The sequence below is a fragment of the Homo sapiens genome, chromosome 11, assembly GCF_000001405.40.
Source record: "Homo sapiens chromosome 11, GRCh38.p14 Primary Assembly".
In the NCBI taxonomy this organism is placed as follows: Eukaryota; Metazoa; Chordata; class Mammalia; order Primates; family Hominidae; genus Homo; species Homo sapiens.
Window position 1 is genome coordinate 8,460,194 of NC_000011.10, and position 13,150 is coordinate 8,473,343.

A 13,150-nucleotide genomic window follows, 5' to 3' on the forward strand; every position below is an offset into this window, starting at 1 on the left:
AAAAATTAACAGGCATATAAAGCAGCAGGAAAATAGAACCCATAATGAAGGGGAGAAAAAACAATAAATTGAAACTGATCTAGAAATGACACCCATGACAAAATCAGTAGAAAAGGACATTAAAACAGTTATTATAACTCTATTCAAGAAGACCGAGCGTGTTAAGTAGACACATGGAATATATAGATATATATATATATTTTAAAACCAAATCAAATTTCCACTGGAAGAGATTAACAACACATACAATACTACACAGAGAGATTACTGAATTTGAAGACAACAACAGAAACTATACAAAATGAAACAAGGAGATAAAAAATGATTTAAAAAATGAACAGAGCATCAGTGAACTGTGGACAATATCAAGCAATCTAACTTGGAGACCACAAAGTGGGGTGAGGGGAAGGCAAATACAAATGTGAGGAAATAATAGCCCCCAATTTCCTAAAATTGATGAAAACCATAAACTCACAAGTCCATGAACCCCGAACACAAAAAAAAACATGAAGAAAATGATATCAAGGCACATTATAATCAAATGGCTTAAAGCTGATGATAACGAACAAAACTATTCTAAGAAGATTTGGGGATAAAAGAAATCACAAGTCTAAGACTGAAAAGGGCAGAGACTTTGGGCATCATTGCCATATACTGCTCTTATAAAGGATAACTGTGGTCTTTAATTGTTATCAAGCACCCCTAATGAATCAAGCATAAGGCACAACCCAAATTGACTATTACTACCTTAGAGACTGGCCTAGGAGACAAAGAACAATAGAGAAACATTTAATGAGACAGATGCTTTATATCAATTGTCTCATTTAATCCTTCAACAGCAACCAAGTGAGGTCAACACTGTTATCAAGCCCATTTTACAGATGAGGAAACTGCAATATGGGCAAGCTGAATAACTTGTCCATGGTCTCATGGATAACTAAGAAGTGGTGGAGCCAGGATTCAAATGCACAGGCAATATGATTCCACAGTCCATACGCCTAATCCGTACATTATTACTCTTCTAAGAGAAAACACCCAAGCCCACAAGCATTAAACTGTCTGGAGGCAGAATGGCAAATAATCCAGGCTTCTGAACAACTCTAAATAAAAATTACAGGTAAAGAGAAGAATGATAGCATCTAGGGAAATATGAAGATAAAACATATCAGTAAGACATAGATGAAAAAATATCTCCTACAAACTGCAGTGAAAAATATACCCATACCAATTTGATTATGTAGTTAACTTTGCAAAATTATGAAAATATTCCAATAAACTTTAATGGAGAAACTAAGGATCAAAGCAAAAGGAAAGGCACCTCTAAGAAAGTTCTAATCACCATTTGGTTGTGTATGAAGTTGTTGTAATTTTAAACATTTGTTTTCAACATGCCACCCAGAACATATTACTGAAGACATCAATCTAATCATCAGACATCTAATTATGCAATCAATAATAAAAGTCCTCCAGAATGTTCTCATCAATCTCCAGTGACAGACTCATGGCCAAGGACATGAGCAACTGTGCCCCAAAGGGATTATTTCAGAATGGAATGATATTCATTTTGTAATAATAACAACTTTCAAAATGCAGCGCCTAATAGAGGTTTACCTTTGGCGTTTCAAATACTTGTTCCAGATGTATGATGTGTTCATGTTTTACACTTTTCAGAATGTTCACCTCTCGTTCAAGTAACTTCACAGCAGAGCTTCCAGCCTTAATCAATGAAGAAACACAGATTTCACATAATGAAAATCACTCCTACATTCCTTGATAGAAAAGTTATTTTATGTTTTCCTACTTTTTTTCCTGTAACTTCATATTTGAAGTGAATTCATACATTTTTTGAGATGTTTCTTTTTCAAATGATATCATGCCATTTATTCCTGTGATCAGATTAAATTATGCCCCTTCTTTCCTTTGTCCAATTTTAAGTTACATATAATTTTGCCTCAAGCCACATCTGTTTCTTGAATTGTTTCTATAACTTAGCTACAACATGGTATCTGTCTCCTCACAAAACTATGAAAATTACTCCAACTTTTAATAGGCTTTTTGATATTTCCTTTAAAAATATGTTGATCCCTTGATGTTAGCATAATAAAAACAAAATCTACTTCCAAGGACATAAATTGAGGAAGAAAAAAAACAAAAAGTTTTTCTTTGTTTTGCTGTTGTCTTGTTTTGATTTGATTATATATATATATACATATATATACACACACATATATATACATATATACATATATACACACACACACACACACACACACACACACATATATATATATATGTATGTATGAAAAAATAATAGGCAATGAGATTCTACACTCGGCTCTGCACTGTTACTTCCTGGCCTGCCTGGTTAACTGAGGGAGAAACAGGGAGAGAGACGGAAAGAGAGAGAGACAGACAGACAAAGAGAGACAGAGACAGAGAGAGAGAGAGAGATCTTGCCTTCAGATGTTAGATGTCTCCTAACATTTAACACTCACCATGCAGATAGCAAAAGGTAAAGTCAGTAACACTCCAAGGAGCACAAGGACTTCATTCGGGTGTAGGTAATTGATAATCTACAATGTCCTCTATCTCAGAAATTCTAGAAGGGCTTTCTCCACCCTCACCATCACCGCCCTGCCAAATCATCACCCCTATTGATCTTGAAATTGTCATTATTTGAGGATAAGCATTGTCCTCATTTATTTCTAATAAAAAAATCTCCCTGCAAGGGATAAAAAAGGTCCTATTCCTCCACCTCCCATCCACCTGATTTGGGAGAGTACATAATGGTTCTTAAGGGAGTGGAAATGGATTAGTCATAAGGCAAATTTTGCCTAATTAAAATTTTACCTAGTGTCATTCCAGCTTCCAATTACCTTTGCTCCTCAACCTTTAGCATCTCAGGAGTGGGTGGGATGCTGCCCATCATACTATGCCCCACCCAAGGATTAAGTCACATTTAAAGGTTAACCTAGAGCAGCAGTCCCCGACCTTTTTGGTACCAGGGACTGATTTAATGGAAGACAATTTTTCCATGAACCAGGGTTGCGGGAGAGGGCATGGTTTCAGAGTGAAACTGTTCTACCTCAGATCATCAGGCATTAGTTGGATTCTCATAAGGAGCATGCAGCATAGATCCATAGATCCCTCACATACACAGTTCACAGTAGAGTTTGCACTCCTATGAGAATCTAATGCCGCTGCTGATCTGACAGGAGGCAGAGATCAGGTGGTGATGTTCACTCGCCTGCTGCTCATCTCCTGGTGTGCAGCCTGGTTCCTAACAGGCCACGGACAGGTACCGGTCCAAGACCTGGGGGTTGGGGACCCTCGACCTAAAGGATCAAGAGAAATAGTGACTGTGAGGAGTGAATTTTTGTCTAGACTAGATATGGAAAGTTACCCCAATTTCTCCTAATATCCATCTCAATTCTGTTTCTCACCCCTTCCCAAATGGCTTGGCCTGAATATAACACAATATTACACTATTCACTTCATATACTGACTATATAGTTTTATCTTACTATCTTTTGGTCTTAAAAACTCTCAACATCAATATAAATATGAAAGATTATTAATTCCTAAAGTTGCAAGTAGGTATGATAGTTATATAACCCAAAAACTGAACCCCTAACCCTAGCTAACACCAAAGGAGAAAAGGAAATAACACCTTAGGTAGCACTTAGGATGCTACCCGAATTCTAAAGATTTCTAGAAAGGCTCTTAATCCCTTTACTAAGATTGATATGTTACCTTACTAAACATTAGGGACAAATGGTATGTAATTTGCTACAGTTTGTTTTAAATAATACATAAAACCTACCATTTTGTTTTTTAAATGTGGTATTTATCATCACAAATCCTAGGGGAAAACACCATAATGTTGTTTGGTTTTTCCCAGGCACAGAAATGAAAAAGGTTGATGAAATGATCAGGTGTAAAGTCTGAGGTCTTAGATTTTATCGTCAAGAGAAGCTCAGTCGTTCCCCAGTTCAAGAGGAAATCTAGTGAGGAGTGCAGCAGATAAAAGAGTATAGCAGTAGTTAGTTGAAGCAAAAAGTGGTTCAACATGAAAGAGCAGGCAGGATGAATAAACAGAATTAGCGAACAGTGAGGAAATGAAAGGAGAGGATAGGAGAAAAGTATATCAAAACAAAATCAGGAGAGAGTATCTGCACTTCTAGCTAAGATATCTCTAGCCCACAGCCCTATGCCTACAGAACACTGAGAACCAGCCCTTATCTTCAGCAAACTCTGGTAAAATTTACCTATTTTTTGTTATATTGGTTATGTTATTCCTTTCATTTGTTTTTTCCAGGCAGCACTTGCCTACTTGAGTTCAGAAACTAGTCCCTTTCCGGGAGGCTAGAGAAATGCCACGCTTCTCTGGGGGATCAGCCCAGGCCTGGGACCTCAGGGTGAGAGGCAGCTTGTGTTAGTGTAAAAAGCTGTACTGTCCACACCCACCCTGCACTAACACTGTGCCCTCAGTAGGATGCTGCTAATGAGCCTTACCTTTTCTTTGTTCACTTTTTTAATTGCCCACTTCGTTTCTGTTTCCTTGTCTGTCGCTTCAATGACTATTCCAAAGCTCCCTTTTCCCAATATTCTTCCAAAGGTATAGATTTCCTGGAGAAAAAAAAAAAAAGAGTTGTCTCTCTATGCCATTCATCAGCTATTAAAAATGAACATATAATACTGACAGATACTCACCCAAGGGAAAAGAGATTCTGCTCCAAGTTAAAATCAAATAGAAGACACTATATATTTGCTTCAATATTAATAAACACATCTTAATTAACCAAAATAAGCGTTGATGAATTTTATTAAGTGTCCTTTGGAGGAAAACCATAAAAATCCTAATGGTGAAATGTGGAAAAACTCAAAAGTATAAAAATGAATCTCTTTCAAACTATAATATATTAATGAAATATCTTCATAAGAAAAAGGAGAAATGATTTATATATATACACACACATAAGTGTGTGTAGATATAAAATACATTCACCCCAAAACATCCCAAATTTCTGAGAGCTATACTACAAAATCGACACATAGTAACTACTGAACAAATGTTTCTTTATTTAACAACTAATGCTTTTCCTGTATCTTATGAAAAATCACTTTTGATTCCTTTTGCTTTAAAAAAAAAAAAGCAATATGTGACAAAAATTTCAACACAGATCAGCACTGAGAAAAAAATAACCACTACCCATAAAACCATCATCCAAACCAAGAATCCATCCTCTTATCATTTAACTTCTGCTTATAAAGAAAGAATACATTGGTTTTGCCAACATCACCATTTTGGTTTGCATTGTAAATAATAAACAGCTAAACTCATTTACACCTTCATTTCTTATCAATTTGGTTTTGGGGGAGTCAGTCTCCCTGATCCAAATCAACTCCAGGGAATTAACAAGAGTTTCTGGACCCATCGTGCATAGGAACCAGAACATGGGAGAGCAGCTGAACTAATGCCACTAGGTAATGCCCTGGTTGGGTCAGCTAGTCAAAGCCTTCCATAGAAATGCCACTCTCAAAATGCCACTCTCTCTCTCTCTGTATGTGTGATCACTTTCACATTCACCATGTGTATTAGTCCGTTTTCACGCTGCTGATAAAGACATATCTGAGACTGGGCAATTTACAAAAGAAAGAGGTTTATTGGATTTACAGTTCCACATGACTGGGGAAGCTTCACAATCATGTCAGAAGGCAAGGAGGAGCATGTCACATCTTACATGGATGGAAGCAGGCAAAGAGAGGGCTTGTACACAGAAACTCCTGTTTTTAAAACCATCAGATCTCGTGAGACCCATTCACTATCATTAGAACAACATGGAAAAGACCCACCCTTCTGATTCAATCATCTCCCAGTGGTTCCCTCCCATGACACATGGGAATTATGGGAGCTACAAGGTGAAATTTGGGTGGGGACATAGAGCCAAACCATATCATTCCAACTCTGGCCCTTCCCAAATCACATATGTTCACATTTCAAAACCAATCATGCCTTCCCAACAGTCCCCCAAAGTCTCAACTCATTTCAGCATTAACTCAAAAGTCCACATCTGAGACAAGGTAAGTCCCTTCTGCCTATGAGCCCGTAAAATCAAAAGCAAGTTAGTTACTTCCTAGATACAATGGGGGTATAGGCATTGGGTAAATATAGCCATTACAAATGGGAGAAATTGGCCAAAACAAAAAGGCTACAGGCCCAATGCAAGTCCAAAATCCAGTGGGGCAGTCAAATCTTAAAGCTCCAAAATGACCTCCTTTGACTCCATGTCTCACATCCAGGTCACGCTGATGCAAGAGGTAGGTTCCCATAGTCTTGGGCAGCTCTGTCCCTGTAGCTTTGCAAGGTACAGCCTCCCTCCTGGCTGCTTTCACAGGCTGACATTAAGTGTCTGTGGCCTTTCCAGGTGCATGGTGCAAGCTGTCGGTGGATCTACTATTCTAGGGTCTGGAGAATGGTGGCCCTCTTCTCACAGTTCCACTAGGCAGTGCCCCAGTAGGGACTCTGTGTGGGGGCTCCCACCCCATATTTCCCTTCTGCACTGCCCTAGAAGAGGTTCTCCCTGAAGATCCTGCCCCTGCAGCAAACTACTGCCTGCGCATCCAGGCGTTTCCATATATCTTCTGAAATCTATGTGGAGGTTCCCAAACCCTAATTCTTCACTTCTGTGCACTCGCAGACTCAACACCACATTAAAGCAGCCAAGGCTTGAGGCTTGCACCCTCTGAGGCCATGGCCCGAGCTCTATGTTGGGCCCTTTCAGCCATGGCTGGAGTGGCTAGGATGCAGGGCACCAAGTCTCTAGACTGCACACAGCATGAGAATCCTGGGCCCAGCCCACGAAACCACTTTTTCCTCCTAGTACTCTGGGTAATGGGAGGGGCTGCTGTGAAGACCTCTGACATGCCCTGGAGACATTTTTCTCATTGTCTTGGGGATTAACATTTGCCTCCTGGTTGCTTATGCAAATTTCTGCAGCCAGCTTGAATTTCTCCTCAGAAAATGGGATTTTCTTTTCTATTGCATTGTCAGGCTGCAAATTTTCCAAATTTTTATGCTCTGCTTCCCTTATAAAACTGAATGCCTTTAACAGCACCCAAGTTGCCTCTTGAATGCTTTGCTGCTTAGAAATTTCTTCCACCAGATACCCTAAATCATCTCTCTCAAGTTTAAAGTTCCACAAATCTCTAAGGCAGGGGCAAAATGCTGCCAGTTGCTTTAGTAAAACGTAACAAGAGTCACCTTTGCTCCAGTTCCCAAGAAGTTCCTCATCTCCATCTGAAAGCACCTCAGCCTGAATTTCATCATCCATATCATTATCAGCATTTTGTTCAAAGACATTCAACAAGTCTCTAGGGAGCTCCAAACTGTCCCACATTTTCCTGTCTTGTTCTGAGCCCTCCAAACTGTTCCAACCTCTGTCTATTACCCAGTTCCAAAGTCACTTCCAGCCGGGTGCAGTGGCTCATGCCTGTAATCCCAGTATTTTGGGAGGCCAAGGCAGGCAGATTACGAGGTCAGGAGATCGAGACCATCCTGGCCAACATGGTGAAACCCCATGTCTACTAAAAATACAAAAATTAGCTGGGTGTGGTGGCCTGTGCCTATAATCCCAGCTACTTGGGAGGCTGAGGCACACGAATTGCTTGAACCCAGGAGGTGAAGGTTGCAGCGAGCTGAGATCGCACCACTGCACTCTAGCCTGGTGACAAAGCAAGACTCCATCTCAAAAAAAAAAAAAGTCACTTCTACATTTGTGGGCATCTTTTTGGCAGCACCCCACTTCTGGTACCAATTTACTGTATTAGTCCATTTTCACACTGCTGATAAAGACATACCCGAGACTGGGCAATTTACAAAATAAAGAGGTTCATTGGACTTACAGTTCCACATGGCTGGGGAGGCCTCACAATCATGGCAGAAGGCAAGGAGGAGCAAGTCACATCTTACGTGGATGGAAGCAGGCAAAGACAGAGTTTGTGCAGAGAAACTCCCATTTTTAAAACCATCACATCCTATGAGATCCAGTCACTATCATGAGAACATGAGAAAAACCTGCCCCCATGATTCAATCATCTCCCATAGGGTCCCTCCCACAACACATGGGAATTATGGGAGCTACAAGATGAGATTTGGGTGGGGACACAAAACCAAACCATATCACCATGCAACAGGTAAATTAGAGGCTTGTCTTCGTATTTTCTAATGCTTACATTCCCTTCTTTTGTAACAGAAAATTCAACGCCCAACTAATTACTCACCTCCTTCATGAAGGGCTTCCTTGTTTAACACAATTGTGTCTGTTCTGTTATTTTTACTCCTTTCACCATGTATGCATTGGTCCTCAAACAATATTATTGCTTTTTTGTTTACAAACCTTTTGGCTTATTTTTTTTTCTTCCAAGATGGTCTAAAAGCTCCTAAAGGTGCTGTTTCTTTTGTATCTCTTAAAAAAACCTAGCTCTTCTCTCTTCCTTGATACCACTTAATAGCACATAATAGAATTAAAGTCAGAAAACTTAATTATAAAATAGTACAAAACATAATTTTATTCTTATATTTATATGCAACTCTCAACTGTATACAGAGATACCTCAGAGATATTGTGTATTCAGTTCCAGACCACCACCATAAAGCAAAAATTGCAATAAAGCATATAAAAGTTATGTTTACACTATATTATAATCTATTAACTGCAATAGCATTATGTCTAAAAATGTACACAAAATTTTAAAATGCTGCATTGCAAAAAAAAATGCGAACAAACATAACAATGCAATTGTAATCTTTTTGCTGGTGGAGGGTCCTGCCTCCATGTAGATGACTGATGACTGATTAGGGTAGTGGTGGTTGAAGACTGGAGTGGCTGTGACAATTTCTAAAAATAAGACAACCATGAAGTTTGGTGCATCAATTGACTCTTCCTTTCATAAAATATTTCTCTGTAGCATGTGATGCTGTTTGATAGCATTTTACTCACAGCAGAACTTCTTTCAAAACTGAAGTTAGTCCTCTCAAACCCTGCCACTGCTTTATCAACTAAGTTTATGTGATATTCTAAATTTTGTTGTCATTTCAAAAATATTCACAGCATCTTCACTAGGAGTATATTCCATTTCAAGAAATCACTTTCTTTGCTCATCCATAAGAAGCAATTCTTCACTCATTCATGTTTTATCGTGAGACTGCAAAAAGTCAGTCCCATCTTCAGGCTCCACTTCTAGTTCTCTTGCTGTTTCCATTATATCTATAGTTACTTTATCCACTTAAGACTTGAACCCTTCAAAGTCTTCCATGAGGGTGGGAATCAACATTTACCAGACTCCATCAGTGTTGATATTCTGACCTTCTCTCATGAATCACAAATGTTCTCAATGGCATCCAGAATGATGAATCCTTTCCAAAAGGTTTTCAACTTAATCTGCCCAGATCCATCAGAGGAATCACTATCTGTGGCAGATATAACCTTATGAAATTTATCTCTTAAATAATAAGGCTACAAAACAGAAATCACTCTTTGATCCATGGGCTACAGAATGAATGTTGTGTTAGCAGGCATGAAAACAACATTCATCTTGTACATCTCCATTAGAGCTCTTGGGTGACCAGGCGCATTGTCAATGAGCAGTAATATTTGGAAAGAAGACATTTTTGTGAGAAGTAGGTCTCAAATGTGGGCTTAAAATTTCAGTAAACCATGCTGTAAGCAAAGGTGCTATCATTCAGGCTTTGTTGTTTTATTTAATGAGCACAGGCAGAGCAAATTTAGCATAACTTCTTAAGGCCCTAGGAATTTCAAAACAATAAATGAGCAGTGGCTTCAACTTAAAGTCACCAGCTTCATTAGTCACTAACAGGAGAGTCAGTCTGTCCTTTGGGGCTGTGAAGCCAAGCATTGATTACTCCTCTCTAGCTATGAAAGGATTAGTTAGCATCTTCTAAGGCTTAAATCTGTTGTTTAGTGTAGCCATCTTCTATCAATGTCTTAGGTAGATCTTCTGGATAACTTGCTGCAGCTTCTACATCAGCACTTGCTGCTTCCACCTTTTATGTTATAGAGACAGCTACTTTCTTTAAACCTCCTGAACCAATCTGTGCTAGCTTCAAGCTTTTCTCCTACAATGTCCTCACTTCTCTCCCCTTCACAAAACTGAAAACAGGGCCTTGCTCTGGATTAGGCTTTGGCTTAAGGAATCTTGTGCTTGGTTTGATCTTTTCCAAAATCAAACTTTCTCCATATCAGCAATAAGGCTGTTTTGCTTATCATTCACGTGTTCACTGGAATAGCACTTTTAATTTCATTCAACAAATTTTCTTTTTCTTTAAAAACTTGGTTAAATGGTGCAAGAGGCCTAGCTTTCAGCCTATCTTGGCTTTCAACATGCGCTCCTCATTAGGCTTAATCATTTCTGGCTTTCGATTTAAAGTGAAAGACATGTGACTCTTCCTTTCACTTAAAACACTGCAGGGTTATTAATTGTCCTAATTTTAATATTGTCTCTCAGGGACTAGGAAGGGCCAAGGAGAGGGAGAGAGATGGAAGAATGGTCAGTCACTGGAGCAATCAGAATGCACACAACACTTATTGCCATCTTATATGGGTGCAATTTGTGACACCCCCAAACAAGTACAATAGTAACATCAAAAATCACTGATCACAGATCACAACAGATATAATAATGAAGAAAAAGTTTGAAATACTGTGAGAATTACCAAAATGTGACACAAAGGCACAAAATGAGCACATGCTGTTGGAAAAATGGCACCAACAGACTTGCTTGACACAGTTGCCAAAACTTCAAATTTGTAAAAAACACAAGATCTGCAGAGTGCAATAAATCAAAGCATGATATGATGAAGTATGCCTATATTTTGTAAAGTGAGTTAAATCTCAACTAAAATGGTCATTTACCCTTTTCTCATTTACAAAATAATCTCTTCATAACCACTTCCCCAATTTTTCTTGTTCTTTAAAAGTTAAACTTTTATTTTCTCTCTAAATAGAACCACAATTTGAAGACAGTATTCAATACTGTTTAAATAGGAATTCTAAAATGAGAAATGGCCAACTAGTTTTTTACAAACTAATCACTTTCTTCAACTAACTGCTTTGATATTAACACATAGTGATGAAGGAGAAAACAGTTTCTTATTTCTAATAATTGTGTAAGGATGTTATTAAAATGATAATGTAGATCTATTTTTACTGACACAGAAGAAGTCCATGACATAGTGTACAGTGTGAAAAGCATATAAGATATGATTTCATTATGACAATGTGTGTGTGAGGAGGTGCTTACATGGATATCTGTGAAAATGTTCATCTAAATATTAATAGTAGCTATGTAAGGGTAATAGAATTGTGGATGCTTGTAATTTCCTTCTTTATACTCTTCTGAAATGTTTAAAATATTTAAAATGAGTATATTTTATGGGGGAATAGAAGCTTCAACTTCAACTATACCAAGTTAAAGTTACTTCTTTAAAATATGTATATATATTTGAAATATCCTCTAATTTAAAACAGGAAAAATGTTAAAGAAAAATAAAATAAAACTAGTACATGCATAGAAAAAGTGAAGTTAATAATTTTTAAATTGGTTATATCTGGTTGATAATTTTTATTTTCTCCACACTTATATTTGCCTAATTTTTCACAATGAACATATTTTGCTTTTATAAAAGCTCTTAAGACTAAATTTATTATTTATTTATTTTACTGTTTTTGGAGACAAGGTCTCACTCTGTCGCCCAGGCTAGAATGCAGTGGTATGATCATAGCTCACTGCAGCCTCAAACTTCTGGGCTCAAGTGATACTCACATCTCAGCACCCCACAGTAGCCAGGACTACAGCCGAATGCCTCTATATCCTGCTAATTTTTTAAAAATTTTTTTAGAGAAGGAGTTTTGCTATGTTGCCCAGTCTGGTCTCAAACTCTTGGCCTCAAGTGATCCTCCTTCCTCAGCCTTTCAAAATGCTGAGATTACAGGCATGAGCCATCATGCCTGGCCCAAGACTAAATTTAAAACTTGGTAAACTTGTGTGTGTGTGTGTCAGAGTTTTTCAGGCCAGGCAGCTTTTCTAATCATTTCAAGTAAGTTGCCAAATATCTTTTAAAACAAGTTTTGACATCAGGCTTGATCATTTCTAGCTTTTGATTTAAAGTGAAAGACATGCAACTCTCCCTTTCACTTGAACCACTGTAGGATTATTAATTGGCCTAATTTCAATATTTTTGTGTATCAGGGACTAGGGAGGCCCAAGGAGAGGGAGAGAGATGAAGAGTGGTCAGTCAGCTGAGCAATCAGAACATATACATTTATTAAGTATACCATCTTATATGGGTGCAATTTGTGGTGCCCCAAAGCAATTTAAATGGTAATATTAACACAATTTTCTTCTTGTTGTGGTTGTTCTTATTGCAGTTTCTTTAATGTTAAAAACACACATTTTAATTTTTTTATTGTTCTAACATTTAATTCTTATTTTATATAATAATTTGAATCCTGGAAAAATAGTATTGGTATTTATCCAATCGCAGGATGGAAAAGATGGAGGAGCTCATGAGGGAGATTCTGGCCTCACTATCAAGGAAGTGAACAGCCAAACTAAAATTACCTGGTCCATCTCTGCATCATGAAAAGGTCTAAACAAAGACTCCACTATTGCTTTCAGCAACGGCCAAGACCTGAAGATGAAACTATCCTCATTTTAGCTAATGAAAATGTTCTCCACTTTAATTAAAATCCACTTGGTCCTCCATAAACAGAAGATAATTAATCTGTATTTTCTTTAGTAAAAATGTTAACATACTTGAAAATGGTACATTTCCTCTTTTCTTTACTTCCTTTCCTTAGAGATTTATTTTTCAATCATTTTTCCTATTAACCATTGACTTAGAAGAAACCTGAAAGTTCACAGTAGCTTCATTTGCTTTCTATATACCTCAATAGCAGCTCCATTCTCAATCCTTATGTGAGGAACTTTTCCTTCTGTAAAGTTGCCCCGACCCCATTGTTGCTGAGATGCTTTTCTCTCTACATTTGAGGTTCTTGAGGGCTGGGACCAAAAAAAAAATTAAAAAAAAAAAACTTTAAGATGTAATATTCTTTGTTGACAAAGAATC

General features: G+C 37.8%; 1 protein-coding gene across 57 annotated transcripts in view; it reads right to left on the minus strand.

Moving 5' to 3' along the window:
- Nucleotides 1–13,150, minus strand: part of STK33 (serine/threonine kinase 33) — a 259,405-nt gene that overhangs the window by 125,370 nt on the left and 120,885 nt on the right. For 56 of the 57 annotated variants that reach the window (XR_007062494.1, XR_001747939.2, XM_047427469.1 and 53 more), the window contains 3 exons: nt 12,970–13,083; nt 4,516–4,629; nt 1,612–1,716 (listed from right to left, as the gene is read on the minus strand). Coding sequence is in view for 54 of the 57 variants with exons in the window: in XM_047427469.1 (XP_047283425.1) it covers nt 1,612–1,716; nt 4,516–4,629; nt 12,970–13,083 (333 nt within the window). In the remaining 3 variants the exon portion in view is untranslated. The remainder of the gene's footprint in view (nt 1–1,611; nt 1,717–4,515; nt 4,630–12,969; nt 13,084–13,150) is intronic. The other variant, NM_001289059.2, reaches the window with a different exon arrangement.